Source organism: Homo sapiens, chromosome 2 (genome assembly GCF_000001405.40).
Source record: "Homo sapiens chromosome 2, GRCh38.p14 Primary Assembly".
In the NCBI taxonomy this organism is placed as follows: Eukaryota; Metazoa; Chordata; class Mammalia; order Primates; family Hominidae; genus Homo; species Homo sapiens.
This window is the reverse complement of record NC_000002.12, coordinates 119089313-119109717: the sequence shown is the minus strand read 5'-3', so window position 1 is coordinate 119109717 and position 20405 is coordinate 119089313.

Genomic DNA, 20405 nt, shown 5'->3' with positions numbered 1-20405 from the left:
GAACATTTAAGATCTACATTTTTTTTTTGAGACAGAGTTTGGCTGTGTCACCAAGGCTGGAGTGCAATGGCACGATCTCGGCTCACTGCAACCTCTGCCTCCCAGGTTCAAGCAATTCTCATGCCTCAGCCACCCGAGTAGCTGGGATTACAGGCCCACACCACAATGCCCAGCTAATTTTTGTATTTTTAGTACAGACGGGATTTCACCACATTGGGCAGGCTAGTCTTGAACTCCTAGCCTCAAGTGATCCACCCACCTTGGCCTCCCAAAGTGTTGGGATTACAGGTGTGAGCCACCGAGCCTGGCCAAGACCTACATTTCTAACAAGAGCCCAGCTAATGCTCTTGCTGCTGGTTGTGAACCATGCTTTGAGTATGCCATGTTCTCAAGCAGCTGTTGCTAACCCTGGTTGTACATTTGTGTTCCAACTTCCGGGCTGATCTCCAGACCAATTAAGTTCAGAATCTCTGGAATTGGAAACCTAGGCATCAGTATTTTTAAAAGCTCCCAAGTAATTCCAATGTGAATGAAGTATGCCCTTCTAGCTGTGTGGAAAGATGGGTGTCTTGGAAGGGATGGCACTTCTGGAAGTGGGACAAGGGCATTTCAGGGGAGGAAACCTGCTTGACTCAGAACCACTAATTGTTCTTCTAGTTCTAATACTCTAAGAAAACCATGATTGTACTGGAGGATGGGAGACCTGGGATCCAGTTCTTGTTCTGATGGGAAGCATCTATATGCCCTTTGGCAGTTCATTCATTCATTCATTCATTCATTCACTTATTTGTTTGCTGTCAAGTATTCTGTGGGGTCTGGGGAGACAGCATTGAAGAAGACAGACCTGATCCCTACTTTCATGGGGCTCCCTGGGTAGTAGTGAATTCACACAATAACAGTAGTAATTATCATAGAGCATGATAAATGGTATGATAGGGAAAGTATAGGACAATGCTCTGGATTCCTCACTGATGAGATGGATAAAGATAATGAGGCTTTCCCTTTCTACTTCACAGGATAAAATGACTGTCACATGGGATAATGAGTTTTGGGAGGCTGTGCAAAATTGTATAAAGGTCTGAAGGAATGTCACACATGGAAGCTCAGAGTGTGTGTCTAATAGGACAGAACTGATCCACCTGACAGGCAGGCATGTCAACAAGACCTCAGCCACCAGCGTTTTTCTGGATTGCTTTGGGTTTTTGTCAGGAGCCCTGATTTTAACCCTAATGCTCTCCATGGCCCCCAACACCCACACAGGCACTTAGTGGAGTGTGGTTTTCAATGGGGTTGGTTTTATATAGAACCTTCATTTATCACAACCCTCAGGATGACACAGCTCTTCTGGAAGAGGTATGCAGAATGATCCTGGAGGAGCAGCAGGGAGAGGTGTGGGCCACCAACCTGCCAGCTGCTGGGGACCTCCAACAACCTTCAGCTCGTATCTGGGCCAGCTGGGGCTGCAGAGCCTGGATTTCCAGCTGACATTGCAGGTGGTCCTTGGCCTCAGCTGCCTGTGTGAGACGGCATGCAGGTGACTGCAAGGCAAGCTTTCATTCCTCTTCATTTTTCAAAGCCTTTAACCTCCCTTGCAGCTAGGATGCTCCACTGACACCACAGAGTAGTATGGGAAACAGGACAAAAAAAATGCATCCTTCCTCAGGGTGGCTTTTGGTTGCTTGGTATTTGTTATTTCCAATTAGGCCCAAGTTAACTGGACCATGGCATATGGGTGTTCACCATGGATGTTTCTTGTCCTTTCTCCACTGCCACTTTCTGAATCCAGGGCCTTACCTCCTCAGCTCTGACTCCTGCAAATAGCTTTCTGACTGTGTAACTGCCCCTGGGATCAGCCCTTTCATTGCCCCCATATGCTGCTGACAGGATGTTTCTAAAGCACAATTTGATCTTGTCACTTTCCAAGTCAGAGCATTTTGGTAATTTCCCACTTCCTACCAAGTCAGGTCCAAACTACTGTCTGCTTCCAAAACTTTCCATCATCCTCCATTGTCCCTAGCCCCTTAAAATTTTAGCCCCAACTAATTGAAAAATGTATCCCTGTTTCAGACTGCCAGTGCCCTCATTTCTCCCCTCTACTTCCCCCACCTTCAAACACACACACACACACACACACACACACACACACACAAGCCCACATCTAGGGGTAAAGCACATTATTGCCCTACCTAGAATGTTTACATTACCATCTTTTTATCTAAATCCTGTTCATTCTTCAAGGCTCACTTTCCTCCCTCCCATAACAAACATCTACTATACTTGCCCTGACCCCTCATGCAGTTTGGTATCACTTGCTCACTCTCTGTGTCACATGTGCTCATTATGTTTTCACAGCAGACGTTGTGTGCCTTGAGTACAGGAACAAGCTAGTCATATGTGCATATGCTGTCAGCATAAAGCTGTGCATAAAGGAGGCTCAATGAGTTAGTTGGTTGAATAATAAATCCCTTTTAACAGACCAATAATATCAGTCAGAGGGGCCAGTGCTGCAAGTGGCATGTAGGGATGACAGAGACCCAGTGAGGGAAAGAGAACACCTATGGAAGTCAAACAACAGCAAGATGAGACAAGCTTCCACTATTAGAATACCATTAAATGGAGAAGAGAAATTAGTTTCGTTCAGTAGGCCCTTAATGAGCATCTACTATATAATCAGCATAAATCCCCTGCCCCAAAGGAACTCAAAGTTTAGCTAAAGTGAGAAACCCATATTCAGCCAAATACAACACACTGTGATGCCGTGATAACATGACCTAGGGCTACAGGAGCATCAAACAGCAAAGAAATAATAAGTGATCTTCCGTTGACCTGCTTTGGTTGTTGATTGGGGTCAAAGAAGTCACTATCAGAAGCAAGTGGCTGCTGTCAGGGAATTAGAAAGTCAGAGGCAGGATGAGGACACAAGAGACAGAACAGTGTTATAGAAAGAGTATGGGCTTTGGAATAAGCAAGACTTGGGTTTAAACTCCAGCTCCATCCATTACTGTAATAGCTGTGTCACCTCAAGTAAACAGCAGTTCCCTCACCTTTACAATGGAGATAACAATACCTATTTTCCAGGCAGTGAAGAAAAGCAAGATAATGCAGGCACTGCACTTAGCACAGTCCTTGGTACACAGTGAGAGCTAATGGATTTGAGCTGCCATTTCCCAATACCAAACCTTTCGGACTCCTGGGCCAGAAGGAGCAGGCTCAGGCCTTCAGCACCACGGACAGCGCCAAAGGGGCAAGTTGGCTGTTCCTTCTAAATCAGAAAAATCATAGGAGATAACAGTTACATAGAATTTCTTTGCCAGAAACGTTATATATATATTAGCTTAGTTAATTCTCACAACAAATCTACAGAGAAAATATTGCTTTTTTCCTCATTTTAACATATGAAGGAACCAAGGCACCGCAGATAATTAATTGTCCAAGGTCACGGAGGTAGTAAATGATGGAGGCAAGATTTGATCTCTGACAGATTGGCTCCATAGCCCATACTCTATTGCCACTAGGCTATGCATTGTCAGGTCTTCAGGATGCCCATGTTCTTTGAGGTGGGACAGGTGGGACTGGCAGGACTGTCCTTTTCGTTTCCTCACAGCTCTTTCTCCAGGGATCCCCTTTACTTTGTTTGGTTCTGAGGGCAGGGCCTCAGCCAAGTAGTATTCTGTTTTTGTTATGGCCACACCCAGCATTTATGTGCCTGGTTCTCTTCTTTCTCCAAAATCCCCCACCCCAGGCCCCTCTCCTCACATATTTCCCTCCCCTCATCTATTCTCCCACCTTTCCCTCACAGTTGGGGGTGAAGGAGGAAAAGAAAAAAGAGTGAATTGAGTAGGAAAGAGAAAGAAAGGCTGAGATTAGAAGAGGTCTCAGGAGAGAGGGAGGAATAGGAGAGTGAGCAAGAGAGAGAGAGAGAGAGAGAGAGAGAGAGAGAGAGACAAGAGCCTGAGAGATGGTCATGTATTCCAGTGACAGTACACCAGGAGTAAAGAGGGGGCAGAAGAAGAGAGATGGGAAGAGAATGAGTGAGGAGTGAGGAGGGAAAAATAAGTTAGAAGGAAGCAGGCATAGAAGATGGAAGGAAAAAAAAAACGAGGCAAGGGGTCAACAGATATGAGTAAATGAGTAAATGGAAAGAGTATATGAGAGGAGAAGAGAATGTGAAAACTGAGAAGAGACATGTGATGATGTGGAGAGAGGCAGGGAGAGAACTGGGAAGGAGGAGCTGTCAAATAAGTCTCAAGTTCTGTTAAGCAGTGAGCTTACAACACATGTCTCCCAGATGGAGCTAGAAAATTGCCCCTTCCTGAAGGAAGGAGAGAGCAAAAGCAATTGCTCTCTCCTTCCTCAGGTCTGGAGGTCCAGCAAATTCAGGGAGAAGGGTGGGAAACTCTGCCAGTCTACTATAGAATCATGAAATCTTGCAAATTTTAAGGATCCCTGAGTTTTCCTTTCTTTGGTCAGACACACTCTTGTCCACTCAGCCATGCCCACTCTTTTGCACCCTTTTTCCACCACATGGGCAGAAAAGAGTAGGCATGGCTGAGTGGAGAAGAACAATCAGGAGGGATTGCTGCCCTCCTGAAAAGAGCTGCTATCTGCCATCACCCTCTGAGCCTTGCCTATAATTGTGAAATGAAAAGCATTGTCCTTTTACGGAAATGTCAGGAAGCTAGTGAGATGGCATTGCTATAAAGAGCTACCTAAGACTGGGTAATTTATAAAGAAAAGAGGTTTAATTGACTCACAGTTCCACAGACTGTCAGAAAGCATGACTGGGGAGGCCTCAGGGAACTTACACTCATGGTGAAAAGTGAAGGGGAAACAGGCACATCTTACATGGCCACAGAAGGAGGAAGAGAGTAAAGGGGGAGCTACACACTTAAACGACCAGATCTCCTGAGAACTCACTCACTATCACAAGAATAACAAGGGGGAAATCCTCCCCCATGATTCAATCAGCTCCCACCAGACTCCTCCCCCAATATTTGGGATTACAATTTGACATGACATTTGGGTAGAGACACAAATCCAAACCGTATCAGATGGATTTTTGCAGACCCTGTTTGGTCATCTGATAACTTGAAGGCCTGCCCTCTGGAGGAAGGACAGGGGAAGCATTGATACTTCTTTATCTAAAGTTTGTCCCTGTGAGTCTGAGGTGAGGAGGGTGCATGGTATCACCCAAGTCCTCACTTCTTTTAAACTAGCTGCAACTAATTCTACTATCAAGAACCAGAGAGCATTTATGGAACATTTATGCGTGCTTGACATGGTGCCAAGTGCCTTTTCACAATGTCTTGTGTAATCCTCATAAAGACCCTGAGAAGTAGGCATCATTAATCCCCAACTTTGCAAATATAAAGCTGGGGCTGGGGGAGGTTAAATAACTTATGCAAGACCACGCAGCTAGTGAGTGGTAGAGCAAGGAACCCATTTATTCAGTCTCTAAGGCCTGTGTTCTTTCCATAATGAGGTAAAATCATGTCATAATATTGTCTTCAGAAGTGAGGACACCTTTTACCATAAAATTGGGAAGCTTGAATGTGAAGTGGCTGAGACCATGAAAGCCTTGCTTATAAGACATGTCTCATTGTCTCAAAGGAGGCAGAAATATCCCTGTGTCAACCCTTATGGGGAGTTAGTCCTAAGAAAAAGAAATGTATTGTTAATTTCTGTGCCCAGAAGAGGAGCCCATTTGTATTCCAATCACGCAGGGAAGAACTTTTTTCTAATTTCCACAAAGGCCCCAAACAATGTTTTAACTGTAGCCTTGTAGCCCTGTTCTTTCTCTTTTCCTTTTCATTTTCAAATGTATTTCCCAGACTTCTACTTCCAGAAATAGTTCTAGCTGTTTAAGTATCTGGTTTTGGATTTACCTTCCCACAAAATGCAACGTCCAATGTCAAGCATTGGACAACAGGAAGCATAGGATTTTGATTCTTGAGAGAAGGAAAACACAAAAGATGTGTCCCATGACTTGCCCTGACTTTCTGCCTAGGATCCTTTTTCTAACCTTGTTACAGTGAAATGAAGCCCATGAAAAGAGTAAAAGCAGTGGTTTCATTGAACTGAGGAGGCAGAAATTAAAGTTTGGGGTCACGAAAGTATCTGAAATTTGAAAGGCAGGGTACCAGAGGGGAGGGACCTTCTAAGGGCAAAGTCTACATGAGGGTTTCTCTCAGGTTCTTGGCTGAGGTCTGTGCTGCATATATACAGGTTGGGATGCTGTACCATAGCCTAGGAAGTGGCTGCTGAAGGGTTGAAAGCTTAATGGAGGTTCATGAGGTTATGCAATGCTGAGAGATCTTGAAACTCCATTTTAACCAAAGTGAAGACACCTCACTGAGAATATTGGGTTATATCTTAGGAATAAGGACCATGCCCTAGAGTAAGAACTATATCCTAGACTAAAGTGGAAATCAAAATAAACTCATCCTGAAAAGCATAATAACAAGCCTGACAATATCCAGAGGATCCACTAGTAATTTAACTGTCTGTTAGAACCTAAAACAGAAGACAACATAATCCAAAATGCCCTACAAAATAGCATTAACAATGCCCAGCATACAATAAAAAATTACTAAACATACAAAGAGGCAGAATAATATGACTCATATTAAAAGAAAAAGCAATCAATAGAAACATACCTTCAGTTGACACAAATTTTGGAATTAGCAAACAGCACTTTAAAATAGCTATCATCAATTTAGTCAAGTATTGAAGAGAAAATATGAATAGAATAAGCAAACAGATTGGGGAATATCAACAGAGCTTTTTTAATACTCAAGTGAAAAGTCTATAACTATAAAGTAAAATATCTGAAATAAAATATTCATTGAAGATTAGATATTGCAGATAGAAAAGGGTCAGTGAACTTGAAGACAAATGAATATAAATTAGCCTAGTTGATGAAGAGAGAAAAAAGATTAAAAAAAGAAACTTGGGCTTCAAAGAGAATAAAATACCTAGGAATCCAACTTACAGGGGACGTGAAGGACCTCTTCAAGGAGAACTACAAACCACTGCTCAATGAAATAAAAGAGGATACAAACAAATGGAAGAACATTCCATGCTCATCCATAGGAAGAATCAATATTGTGAAAATGGCTATACTGCCCAAGGTAATTTATAGATTCAATGCCATCCCCATCAAGCTACCAATGACTTTCTTCACAGAATTGGTAAGTTAGAAGGAAGCAGGCATTGACTTCCAATGACTTTCTTCGCAGAATTGGAGATTCTTGTGATGTCATACAAATTTTAGAATGAACTTTTATATTTCTGCACACAACGTCATTGGGATTTTGATAAAGATTGCTTAGAATCTGTAGATGGCTTTGGGTAGTATTGTCATTTTAACAATTTTAAGCCTTTCAATCCATTAACATGTGATGCCTTTTTATTGAACTATTCTTTAATTCCTTTTAGCATGCTTTGTAGTTTTCAGTGTACAAGACATTTGCCTCATTGGTAAGTTAATGCATTGGTATTTTATTCTTTTTGATGCAATTGTAAATGTAACTATTTTCTTGACTTCCTTTTTGGATTGTTCTTCATTAGCGTATAAGAATGAAACTAATTTTTGCATGCTGATTATTGTATCCTGCTACTTTGCTAAATGTATTAGCTCTAACAGTTATGTGTGTGTGTCTGTGTGCATGTGTGTGTGTGGAGTCCCAGCTAATATGGCTAGAACTTCCAGTACTATGTTGAATAGAAGTGGTGAAAGTAGGCATCTTTGTCTTGTGATCTTAGGGAAAAAGCTTTCAGCCTTTCACTATTTAGTATAATGCTATCTCAGTTTTTCATATATGACTTATTATGTTGAGGTGGTTATATTCTATTACTAGTCTGTTTAGTGTTTTTTTTATACTTTAAGTTCTAGGGTACATGTGCACAATGTGCAGTTTTGTTACGTATGTATACATGTGCCATGTTGGTGTGCTGCACCTGTTAATTCGTCATTTACATTAGGTATATCTCCTAATGCTATCCCTCCCTCCTCCCCCAACCCCACTACAGGCCCTGGTGTGTGATGTTCCCCACCCTGTGTCCAAGTGTTCTCATTGTTCAATTCCCACCTATGAGTGAGAACATGCACTGTTTGGTTTTCTGTCCTTGCCATAGTTTGCTGAGAATGATGGTTTCCAGATTCATCCATGTCCCTGCAAAGGACATGAACTCATCCTTTTTTATGGCTGCATAGTAGTCCATGGTGTATATGTGTCACATTTTCTGAATCCAGTCTATCATTGATGGACATTTGGGTTGGCTCCAAGTCTTTGATATTGTGAATAATGCTGCAATAAACATACGTGTGCATGTGTCTTTATAGCAGCATGATTTATAATCCTTTGGGTATATACCCAGTAATGGGATGGCTGGGTTAAATGGTATTTCTAGTTCTAGATCCTTGAGGAATTGCCACACTGTCTTCCACAATGGTTGAACTAGTTTACAGTCCCACCAACAGTGTAAAAGTGTTCCTATTTCTCCACATCCTCTCCAGCACCTGTTGTTTCCTGACTTTTTAATGATTGCCATTCTAACTGGTGTGAGATGGTATCTCATTGTGGTTTTGAATTGCATTTCTCTGATGGCCAGTGATGATGAGCATTTTTTCATGTGTCTGTTGGCTGCATAAATGTCTTCTTTTAAGAAGTGTCTTTTCATATCCTTTACCCACTTTTTGATGGGTTTGTTTGTTTTTTTTCTTGTAAATTTGTTTAAGTTCTTTGTAGATTCTGGATATTAGCCCTTTGCCAGATGGGTAGATTGTAAAAATTTTCTCCCATTCTGTAGGTTGCCAGTTCACTCTGATGGTAGTTTCTTTTGCTGTGCAGAAGCTCTTTAGTTTAATTAGATCCCATTTGTCAATTTTGGCTTCTGTTGCCTTTGCTTTTGGTGTTTTAGTCATGAAGTCCTTGCCCATGCCTATGTCCTGAATGGTATTGCCTAGGTTTCCTTCTAGGGTTTTTATGGTTTAGGTCTAACATTTAAGTCTTTAATCCATCTTGAATTAATTTTTGTGTAAGGTGTAAGGAAGGGATCCAGTTTCAGCTTTCTACATATGGCTAGCCAGTTTTCCCAGCACCATTTATTAAATAGGGAATCCTTTCCCCATTTCTTGTTTTCATTAGATTTGTCAAAGATCAGATGGTTGTAGATGATTTCCGAGGGCTCTATTCTGTTCCATTGGTCTATATCTCTGTTTTGCTACCAGTACCATACTGTTTTGGTTACTGTAGCCTTGTAGTATAGTTTGAAGTCAGGTAGTGTGATGCCTCCAGCTTTGTTCTTTTGGCTTAGGATTGTCTTGGCAATGTGGGCTCTTTTTTCGTACCATATGAACTTTAAAGTAGTTTTTTCCAATTCTGTGAAGAAAGTCATTGGTAGCTTGATGGGGATGGCATTGAATCTATAAATTACCTTGGGCAGTATAGCCATTTTCACAATGTTGATTCTTCCTATCAATGAGCATGGAATGTTCTTCCATTTGTTTGTATCCTCTTTTATTTCATTGAGCAGTGGTTTGCATTTCTCCTTGAAGAGATCCTTCACATCCCTTGTAAATTGGATTCCTAGGTATTTTTTTATCTCTTTGAAGCAATTGTGTATGGGAGTTCACTCATGATTTGGCTCTCTATTTGTCTTTGATTGGTGTATAGGAATGCTTGTGATTTTTGCATATTGATTTTGTATCCTGAGACTTTGCTGAAGTTGCTTATCAGCTTAAGGAGATTTGGGGCTCAGACAATGGGGTTTTTTAAATATACAATCATGTCATCTGCAAAGAGACAATTTGACTTCCTCTCTTCCTATTTGAATACCCTTTATTTCTTTCTCTTGCCTGATCGCCCTGGCCAGAACGTCCAACACTATGTTGAATAGGAGTGGTGAGAGAGGGCATCCCTGTCTTGTGCCAGTTTCCAAAAGGAATGCTTCCAGTTTTTGCTCATTCAGTATGATATTGGCTGTGGGTTTGTCATAAATAGCTCTTATTATTTTGAGATACATTCCATCAATACCTAGTTTATTGAGAGTTTTTAGCATGAAGGGCTGTTGAATTTTGCTGAAGGCCTTTTCTGCATCTATTGAGATAATCATGTGGTTTTTGTCATTGGTTCTGTTTATATGATGAATTATGTGTATTGATTTGCATATGTTGAACCAGCCTTGCTTCCCAGGGATGAAGCCAACTTGATCATGGTGGATAAGCTTTTTGATGTGCTGCTGGATTCGGTTTGCCAGTATTTTATTGAGGATTTTTGCATCAATGTTCGTCAGGGATATTGGTCTAAAATTCTCTTTTTTTGTTGTGTCTCTGCCAGGCTTTGTTATCAGGATGATGATGGCCTCATAAAATGAGTTAGGGAGGATTCCCTCTTTTTCTATTGATTGGAATAGTTTCAGAAGGAAAGGTACCAGTTCCTCTTTGTACCTCTGGTAGAATTCGGCTGTGAATCTGTCTGTTCCTAGACTTTTTTTTGGTTGGTAGGCTATTAATTATTGCCTGAATTTCAGAGCCTGTCATTGGTCTATTCAGGGATTCAGCTTCTTCCTGGTTTAGTCTTGGGAGGGTGTATGTGTCCAGGAATTTATCCATTTCTTCTAGATTTTCTAGTTTATTTGTGTAGAGGTGTTTATAGTATTCTCTGATGGTAGTTTGTATTTCTGTGGGATCGGTGGTGATACCCCCTTTATCATTTTTTATTGCATCTATTTGATTCTTCTCTCTTTTCTTCTTTATTACTCTTGCTAGCAGTCTATCAATTTTGTTAATCTTTTCCAAAAACCAGCTCCTGGATTCATTGATTTTTTAAGGGTGTTTTGTGTCTCTATTTCCTTCAGTTCTGCTCTGATCTTAGTTATTTCTTGCCTTCTGCTAACTTTTGAATGTGTTTGCTCTTGCTTCTTTAGTTCTTTTAATTGTGATGTTAGTGTGTCGATTTTAGATCTTTCCTGCTTTCTCTTGTGGGCATTTAGTGCTATAAATTTCCCTCTACACACTGCTTTGAATGTGTCCCAGAGATTCTGGTATGTTGTGTCTTTGTTCTTATTGGTTTCAAAGAACATCTTTATTTCTGCCTTCATTTTGTTATGTACCTGGTAGTCATTCAGGAGCAGGTTGTTCAGTTTCCATGTAGTTGAGCGGTTTTGAGTGAGTTTCTTAATCCTGAGTTCTAGTTTGACTGCACTGTTGTCTGAGAGACAGTTTGTTATAATATCTCTTCTTTTACATTTGCTGAGGAGTGCTTTACTTCCAACTACGTGGTCGATTTTGGAATAAGTGTGATGTGGTGCTTAGAAGAATGTATATTCTGTTGATTTGGGGTGGAGAGTTCTGTAGATGTCTATTAGGTCTGCTTGGTGCAGAGCTGAGTTCAATTCCTGGAAATCCTTGTTAACTTTCTGTCTCATTGATCTGTCTGATGTTGACAGTGGGGTGTTAAAGTCTCCCATTATTATTGTGTGGGAGTCGAAGTCTCTTTGTAGGTCTCTAAGGGCTTGCTTTATGTATCTGGGTGCTCCTGTCTTGGGTGCATATATATTTAGGATAGTTAACTCTTCTTGTTGAATTGATCCCTTTACCATTTGTAATGGCCTTCTTTGTCTCTTTTGATCTTTTTTGGTTTAAAATCTGTTTTATCAGAGACTAGGATTTCAACTCCTGCTTTTTTTTGTTTTCCATTTGCTTGGCAGATCTTCTTCCATCCCTTTATTTTGAGCCTATGTGTGTCTCTGCATGTGAGATGTGTCTCCTGAATATAGCACACTGATGGGTCTTGACTCTATCCAATTTGCCAGTCTGTGTCCTTTAATTGGAGAATTTAGCCCATTTACATTTAAGGTTAATATTGTTATGTGTGAATTTGATCCTGACATTATGATGTTAGCTGGTTGTTTTGCTCATTAGTTGATGCAGTTTCTTCCTAGTCTCGATGGTCTTTACAATTTGGCATGTTTTTGCATTGACTGGTACCTGTCGTTCCTTTCCACTTTTAGTGCTTCCTTCAGGAGCTCTTGTAAAGCAGGCCTGGTGGTGACAAAATCTCTCAGCATTTGTTTGCCTATAAAGGATTTTATTTCTCCTTCACTTATGAAGCTTAGTTTGGCTGGATATGAAATTCTGGGTTGAAAATTCTTTTCTTTAAGAATGCTGAATATTGGCCCCCACTCTCTTCTGGCTTATAGAGTTTCTGTCAAGAGATCTGCTGTTAGTCTGATGGGCTTCCCTTTCTGGGTAACTCGACCTTTCTCTCTTGCTGTCCTTAACACTTTTTCCTTCATTTCAACTTTGGTGAATCTGACAATTATGTGTCTTGGAGTTGCTCTTCTCGAGAAGTATCTTTGTGGCATTCTCTGTATTTCCTGAATTTGAATGTTGGCCTGCCTCGCTAGGTTGGGGAAGTTCTCCCGGATAATATCCTGCAGAGTGTTTTGCAACTTGGTTCCATTCTCCCCGTCACTTTCAGGTACACCAGTCAGACGTAGATTTGGTCTTTTCACATAGTCCCATATCTCTTGGAGGCTTTGTTTGTTTCTTTTTACTCTTTTTTCTCTAAACTTCTCTTCTCACTTCATTTCATTCATTTGGTCTTCATTCACTGATACCCTTTCTTCCACTTGATCAAATCGGCTACTGAAGCTTGTGCATGCGTCACGTAGTTCTTGTGCCATGGTTTTCAGTTCCATCAGGTCATTTAAGGTCTTCTCTACACTATTTATTCTAGTTAGCCATTCGCCTAATCTTTTTTCAAGGTTTTTAGCTTCTTTGTGATGGGGTTCGAACATCCTCCTTTGGCTTGGATAAGTTTGTTATTACTGATCTTCTGAAGCCTTTTTCTCTCAACTCGTCAAAACCATTCTCTGTCCAGCTTTGTTCCATTGCTGGTGAGAAGCTGCGTTCCTTTGGAGGAGAAGAGGCGCTCTGATTTTTAGAATTTTCAGCTTTGCTGCTCAGGTTTCTCCCCATCTTTGTGGTTTTATCTACCTTTGGTCTTTGATGATGGTGACGTACAGATGGGGTTTTGGTGTGTATGTCCTTTCTGTTTGTTAGTTTTCATTCTAACAGTCAGGAGCCTCAGCTGCAGGTCTGCTGGAGTTTGCTGGAGGTCCACTACAGACCCTATTTGCCTGGATATCACCAGCGGAGGCTGCAGAACAGCAAATATTGCTGCTCGATCCTTCCTCTGGAAGCTTCATCTCAGAGGGGCACCCGGCTATATGAGGTGTCAGTTGGCCTCTACGAGGAGGTGCCTCCCAGTTAGGCTACTTGGAGGTCAGGGACCCACTTGAGGAGGCAGTCTGTCCGTTCTCAGATCTCAAACTCCGTGCTGGGAGAACCACTACTCTCTTCAAAGCTGTCAGTCAGGGACATTTAAGTCTGCAGAAGTTTCTGCTGCCTTTTTTTCAGCTATGCCCTGCCTCCAGAGTTGGAGTCTACAGAGGCAGGCAGGCCTCCTTGAGCTGTGTTGGGCTCCAACCAGTCCGAACTTCCAGGCCGCTTTGTTTACTTACTCAAGCCTCGGCAATGGCAGGTGCCCCTCCCCCAGCCTTGCTGCTGCCTTGCAGTTCAATCTCAGACTGCTGTGCTGGCAGTGAGTGAGGCTCCATGGGCTTGCGACCCTCCGAGCCAGGCATGGGACATAATCTCCTGGTGTGCCATTTGCTAAGACTGTTGGAAAAGCACAGTATTAGGGTGGGAGTGTCTCGATTTTCCAGGTACCCTCTGTCATGGCTTCCCTTGGCTAGGAAAGGGAATTCCCCAACCCCTTGTGCTTCCGGCGTGAGGTGCTCTGTGGGCTGCACCCACCGTCTGACAAGCCCCAGTGAGGTGAACCCGGTACCTCAGTTGGAAATGCAGAATCACCCATCTTCTGTGTCGCTCACACTGGGAGCTGTAGACTGGAGCTCTTCCTATTCGGCCATCTTGGAACCTCCCCCTGTTCAGTGTTTTTTGCTGTTGTTGTTGTTTTTTTTTTTTTTGGACAGGGTCTCACTGTGTTTAGGCTGGAGTGCAATGTTGTGATCGCAGCTCACTACATTCTTGACCTTCCAGGCTCAATCGATCCTCCCACCTCAACATCCTGAGTAGCTGAGACTAAAGGCACATGCTACCATGTATTGCTATTTCTTTCTTTCTTTTCTTTTTATTTTTGGTAGAGATAAATTTTGCCATGTTGCCCAGGCTGGTCTCAAACTCTCAGGCTCAAATGATCCACTCGCCTTGGCCTCCCAAAGTGTTGGTATTACCGGTGTGAGCCACTGATCCAGGATAGTGGGTTTTTTTTTGTTTTTTTTCAAATCATGAAATGATATTGAATTTTGTCAAATGCTTTTTCTACAGCAATTAAAATAATCATGTGTTTTCTTTTTCTTCATTCTGTTCATGTAATGTATTGCATTGATTGATTTTTATGTATCGAATCATCCTTGCATTCCAGGAATAAATTCCACTGGTCATGGTATATAATCCTTTCAATACACTGCTGCTGAATTTGTTTTCCTAGAATTTTGCTGAGATTTTTGCATCAGTGTTAACTAGGGATATTGGTGTGTAGCTTTCTTGTAGTGTCTTTGGGTGTGGGTTTTTATATTGAAGAAAAATATTCTTCAAAAATAAAAATGAAATAAATAAAAGCCAAGATAGTTCATTACCAAAAAACATTCTTTAAGTGAAATATTAAATTTAGGTTAAAGGAAAATAGTATCAAATAAAAACTAAGGTCTATGGAAAGTAACCAAACATTGGAAATGGCAAATGTGAGTGAATATAAATGCTTATTGTTTCATTTTAAAAAATTTATTTAAGCAATTTCAAAGCAAAAATAATAACATTGTATTGTGGGATTAACATTGTATTGTGGGATTTACATGACAATAGTGGAACAAAGGATAGGGAGTGTATTATATATCTTTAAGATTTATACATTTTGCCTGAAGTGGTGCTCAGTAGACTGTGATGACTTAAAGATGTACATTGTAATCTACAGAAACTACTAAAAAAATGTAGAGAGGAATAGCTAAAGAGCTAGCATGAAAAATAAAATACAATTCTAAAAAATATTTGACTAACATAAAAGAAGGCAGAAAAATAGTAGAGAAACCAAAAATAAAGCTAAAGCAAAGAAAACAAATAGGGAGATGGTAGACTTAAACCCAACTGTATCAGCAATGGCATTACATATAAATAGTTTTACCTGCAAGAAAAAGGCAGAGATTTTTAGACCAGAAAAAATAAATAAAACCAACTATATTACATCTACAAAAACTTCTACATTTTCTTTTTTTAAATAAGAAAATATTTTTTGTAGAGAAGGGGTCTCACTATATTGCCCAGGCTGGTCTCGAACTCTATGTCTCAAATGATTCTCCCTTCTCAGCCTCCCAAAATGTTGGGATTACAGGCATAAGCCACTGGGCCCAGCATACCCTTTTATATTTAAAAACGCATCTTTAAGTATAAAGACACAGATGTGTTGAAAGCAAAACAATGCAAAAATATCTAACACAAATGGTAAACATAATAAAGCTGGTGTGTGGCTATTTTAATATCAAAATAAATTACAGGATAAGAACTGTTAAGGAATGTTAGACAGAGATAAAGAGTTTTCAAAAAATTTTTTAAAAGGCTAATTCAGCAGTCAATTACTGTGTTTGCATCTAATAAGAGAGCTTCAACATATATAAAGCACAAACTGATGGAAATAAAAGGAGAAATATTTAAAGCAACAATCATATTAGAAAATTTTAACAGCCTCCTTAGTGATTGATAGAACAATTAGACAAAAGAAATCAGCCATGATATAGAAGACTTGAACAACGCTAGCTACCAACTTGCCCTAATTGACATTTATAGAGCACTTCCTCCAACAACGGCAGAGCACACATTCTTCTCATGTGTATAGAGAACATTGACCAAGGTAGACCTTAATACTGACTGTGAAGTAAGTATTATAAAATTTTACAAAAATATTTTTCCTATTGCAAATAAATTCCAAAAAATTGGCACAAGATGGAACAGTATTTCTGAATAGCCCTATATCTATGAAATAAATTGAATTTGTCTTCAAAGGCCTTCCCCAGAAGAAAACTCCAGGCCTAGTTAAATTCATAGGCCAGTTCAATCAAACACCAGGCCTAGTTAAATTCATAGGCCAGTTCAATCAAACACCTAAGAAACAGTACCAATCTTACACAAACTTTTTCAGAAAATAGAGGAATAGTCTTCCCTGCTTAATTCATTGTATGAGGTCAGCATTACCCTGTATTAGCAAAACCAGACAAAGATATTAGAAGAAATCAGCATTACACATGAACTTATATGCAAAAATCCTCAAGAAAATTTTAGCAAGTTGAATTTACCAATATGCAAAAAGTTAGTAATACCATGAGCAAGTAGAATGGAAACACAAGAATACAAAAATCATTTAGCATTCAAAAATCCATCACGATAATTATACTAACAGGATAAAGAGAAAAAAAAGAACTATTTCCATAGATGTAAACAAATATTTGATGAAATTCAACATCCATTCAGGTTAAAACTTTTCAATAAACTAGGAATAGAATGGAACTTCCTCATCTGATGAGGAGTTTCTCAAAAATCCTGCAGCTAATACCATTCTCAATGGAGACAAACTGTATATATTCACACCAAAACTGGGAACAAGTAAAGTATGCCCACTCTGATCATATATATTCAGTATTTTACTGAAGGTCATAGCCAGTGCAATAAGGCAAGAAATTGAATTAAAAAGTAGAGTGATTGAAAAGGAAGAAGTAAATCTGCCTTTATTAGTAGACAACATGATTGTCTACGCAGAAAATCATGAGTTTACCAAAAAAACCCTATGAGAACTAATAAGCAATTTTAATACACTTTTCAAGATATAAAGTCAATATACATAAAAAGTTTTTTTGTCTATTGACTATGTCTAGGAAAAATTTGAAATTGAACTTTGAAAAAGTACCATTTAAAATAGCATAAAATATTAGGAATAAATTTAACAAAATACACGTGAGCCTGCATACTAAATACTATAAAATATCATGAAAAATTAAAGAAGATCTAAAGTAAATAAAAAGGCTAGGCGCAGTGGCTTATGCCTGTAATCCCAGCACTTTGGGAGGCCAAGGCAGGAGGATCACTTCAGGTCAGGAGTTCGAGGCCAGCCTGGCCAACATGGTGAAACCCCGTTTCTACTAAAAATACAAAAATTAGCTGGGCATGATGGTGTCCACCTGTAATCCCAGCTACTCTGGAGGCTGAGGCAGGAGAATTGCTTGAACCTGGGAAGCAGAGGTTGCAGTGAGCCGAGATCATGCCACTGTGCTCCCGCCTGTGTGACAGAGTGAGACTTCGTCTCAAAAAAAATTTAATAAATACAATTTAAAAATAAAGTAAATAAAAAGATATTCTGGTATTCATGGATCAGAAGAATCAACGTTATTAAGATGTCAGTTCTCCTCAAACTGATGTATAAATTCAAAGCTATCCAATCAAATTGTCAGAAAATTTTCTTGTAGAAGTTGACAGATTGATTCAAAAATTTAAAAGGAAATGTAAAGAACCAACTATAGTGAAAATAATCTTGAAAAAAAAACTGGAAGGCTTATATTAATTGATCTCAAGACTTACTGTAAAACTATATTATTGAGACAATATACTCTTGGCATTGGGCTATACTAAGACCAGGAAAATCAATGAAAGAAAAGAGAATCAGACCCATGTATATATGACCAGTTGATTTTCTAGAAAGGCACTGACGCAAATCAGTGGGTGGAAAAGAAAGTCTTTTGGGCAAAAAGTGCTAGGGTTGAGGGACAAATATAAAATATAGAAAAAAATCCCTGACCCTCTCTACTTCACACATAACACAAAAAGTAAGTTGAGGTGGATCACAGACCAAAACAAAAGCTAAGTAAAAAGTTTCTAAGCAAAAAAAACATTTTTGAAAAATTTTTGACACCTGGAGGTAGGCAGAGATTTCTTAGAGAGGACACAAGAAGCTCTATCCATAGAAGAAAAAGTTGATACATTAGATTTCATCAAAATTAATAATTTCTGCTGAGCAAAAGACACTATTAAGAAGATGTAGAACACATTACAGGCTGGGAGAACAATCTATATACCTGACACATGTCTTGAATCTAGAATATGGAAATAATTCTTATACATCAACAGTAAAAACACAAACACTCCAATAAAAATGAAAAATATTTTGATAGCCACTTCACTAAAGCATAGGACTTAAAGGGATTATTCCCCTCCCCTCCCCTCTCCTCTCCTTTCCTTTCCTTTCTCCTAAGCCTATGCTCTTAAATAATTCATTTGAATTTTGAGACTCTGAGGACCTTTGAGCAAAATCTGCTACCCATCATTCCACCCACCTCTCACCCACTCACCCATCCACCTACCCCTTCATCCATATCCAATCAACTTTCAGCAAGGCCCCTGAGCAGCTCACAGTCTGAAACAGCGGCAGAGGGATCAGCAAGTAGACTCCCGTGTGATGCCTGCTAGGACAAAGGAAGGCCCGGGGGGCTGTGAAGGCACAGAGGAGAAGCCCCACCTAGTTAGTTATTGCTGGGAGGCTTTCAGAACAGGACGGAAGGGCACTGCACTTGAGATGATCTCCTTCTGCCACAACGTTCCTTGGGTCTCCGTCGCTTCTGGACTGGGCACAGCGATGTCTCCAGAGGAGAGAACGGTTATATACTTTCTGGTTGGGAAAGGGTGAGGAGGTGGACCAGGAAGGACAAACCTCAGCTGCTGCCCTTTCCTTTTGTCTTCCTTCCCTCATTCACTCATCCTGGACCGGCCACTGTGCCTCCACAAGAGGATACTGCCGTTCCACTGAGCTTTGAGGGGAAGAACCTAGAAAAACAATCCCTCAGGAACAATCCATTGGTCTGGCCACGTCTCCTGCCTGCTCAGTTTTCAGCCAGCCTGTGTGGGATGTACAGAGAGAAAGCTGGGTCAGGGCCAAACCTCAGAGACCCTCTGTCCCAGCACAGGAACTGCACCTGTGTTCCTGAAGCAATTCAGGAGGAGCAGTGTCAGAGGAGAATTGATGAAAACTAACAGGGAAGAAGGGAGGTGAAGGAAGGCAGATGTAGTCTGAAGGGGCTTCCTGAAGGAATGGGGCTTGAAAACAAGATTTGGGAAGCATATAGATATGATGAGGATCCTGGAGGGCATTATGTTAACAGTAACAAATGATTACTAGTTTGAGAAGCACTTATGATTTTTCCCTATTGGCCAAGGTCAGTGTTTACATGGATGATCGCATTATCATTTTAGGGGGGGAGAAGAATCAATCTAAACAAAGGCATTTTCTCTCTGGAGCTGCCCTGGGTAGTCCCCACATGGCCCCCCACCTCATGCATGTAGGCATGCAGACATGCATGTGTGCACACGAAATGCAGCTTGAGATTCCCTGGGATAGAGCTCAGGAGCCAAGTTTCATGCAGTCCCTTAGTTCTCATCTTGTTCATCGATATAAATTAGTGAGCACATTGGTCTGTCAGGCAGCATCCATTTATTTGAATTTACTCAGGGAAGAGCACAGCATGGTGGGGAGTGCCTGCCTGCCACCCCTCTGCCTAGCCTACAGAGAGCTGTGCATGTATGCCCCTTGAACTCCCCATCAATCAAATGACGGCTTTTACATGGTGTCTGCTGGGGCCTGGCACTGTGCTCCCAAAAGAGCCGGAAGGTCTGATCCACGGCTCATAACCTTATTGGGAAGGTGATGGCCATAAAGATGGACCAACTGAACAGGAGACACAGATCAGAAGAGCATGCTGATGTGATACAAGACTAAATGTATGGCGTGGGCCTTGTGTTCCCCAGACTGTGTGCTGAGAGTCTAGGTTTCTGTATAGGAGACGCAGGGCCACTGTGGGAGATGTGGTGGGACGGCACAACAGGGGGTGCTCTGACCTCTTTTCTGCTTTAACCAGCTCCACTGACACCTGTTTCAGGGATAATACACTTCCGGTAAGATTTCATTCATGTTCTATTTCCCATCAAGAATGCTGCTGCTTGGGAGGCCAAGGTGGGCAGATCACAAATTCAGGAGATCGAGACCATCCTGGCTAAAACGGTGAAACCCCGTCTCTACTAAAAATACAAAAAAATTAGCCGGGCGTGGTGGCGGGTGCCTGTAGTACCAGCTACCTGGGAGGCTGAGGCAGGAGAATGGCGTGAACCTGGGAGGCAGAGCTTGCAGTGAGCCGAGATCCTGCCACTGCACTCCAGCCTAGGCGACAGAGTGAGACTCCATCTCAAAAACAAAACAAAAAAAAAAAAGAAAAAAAAATGCCGCTGCACTCTCAACCCCCTAATAAAAGTCTTAGTTTTCTACAGATGGGGCTTTCCATTGTGA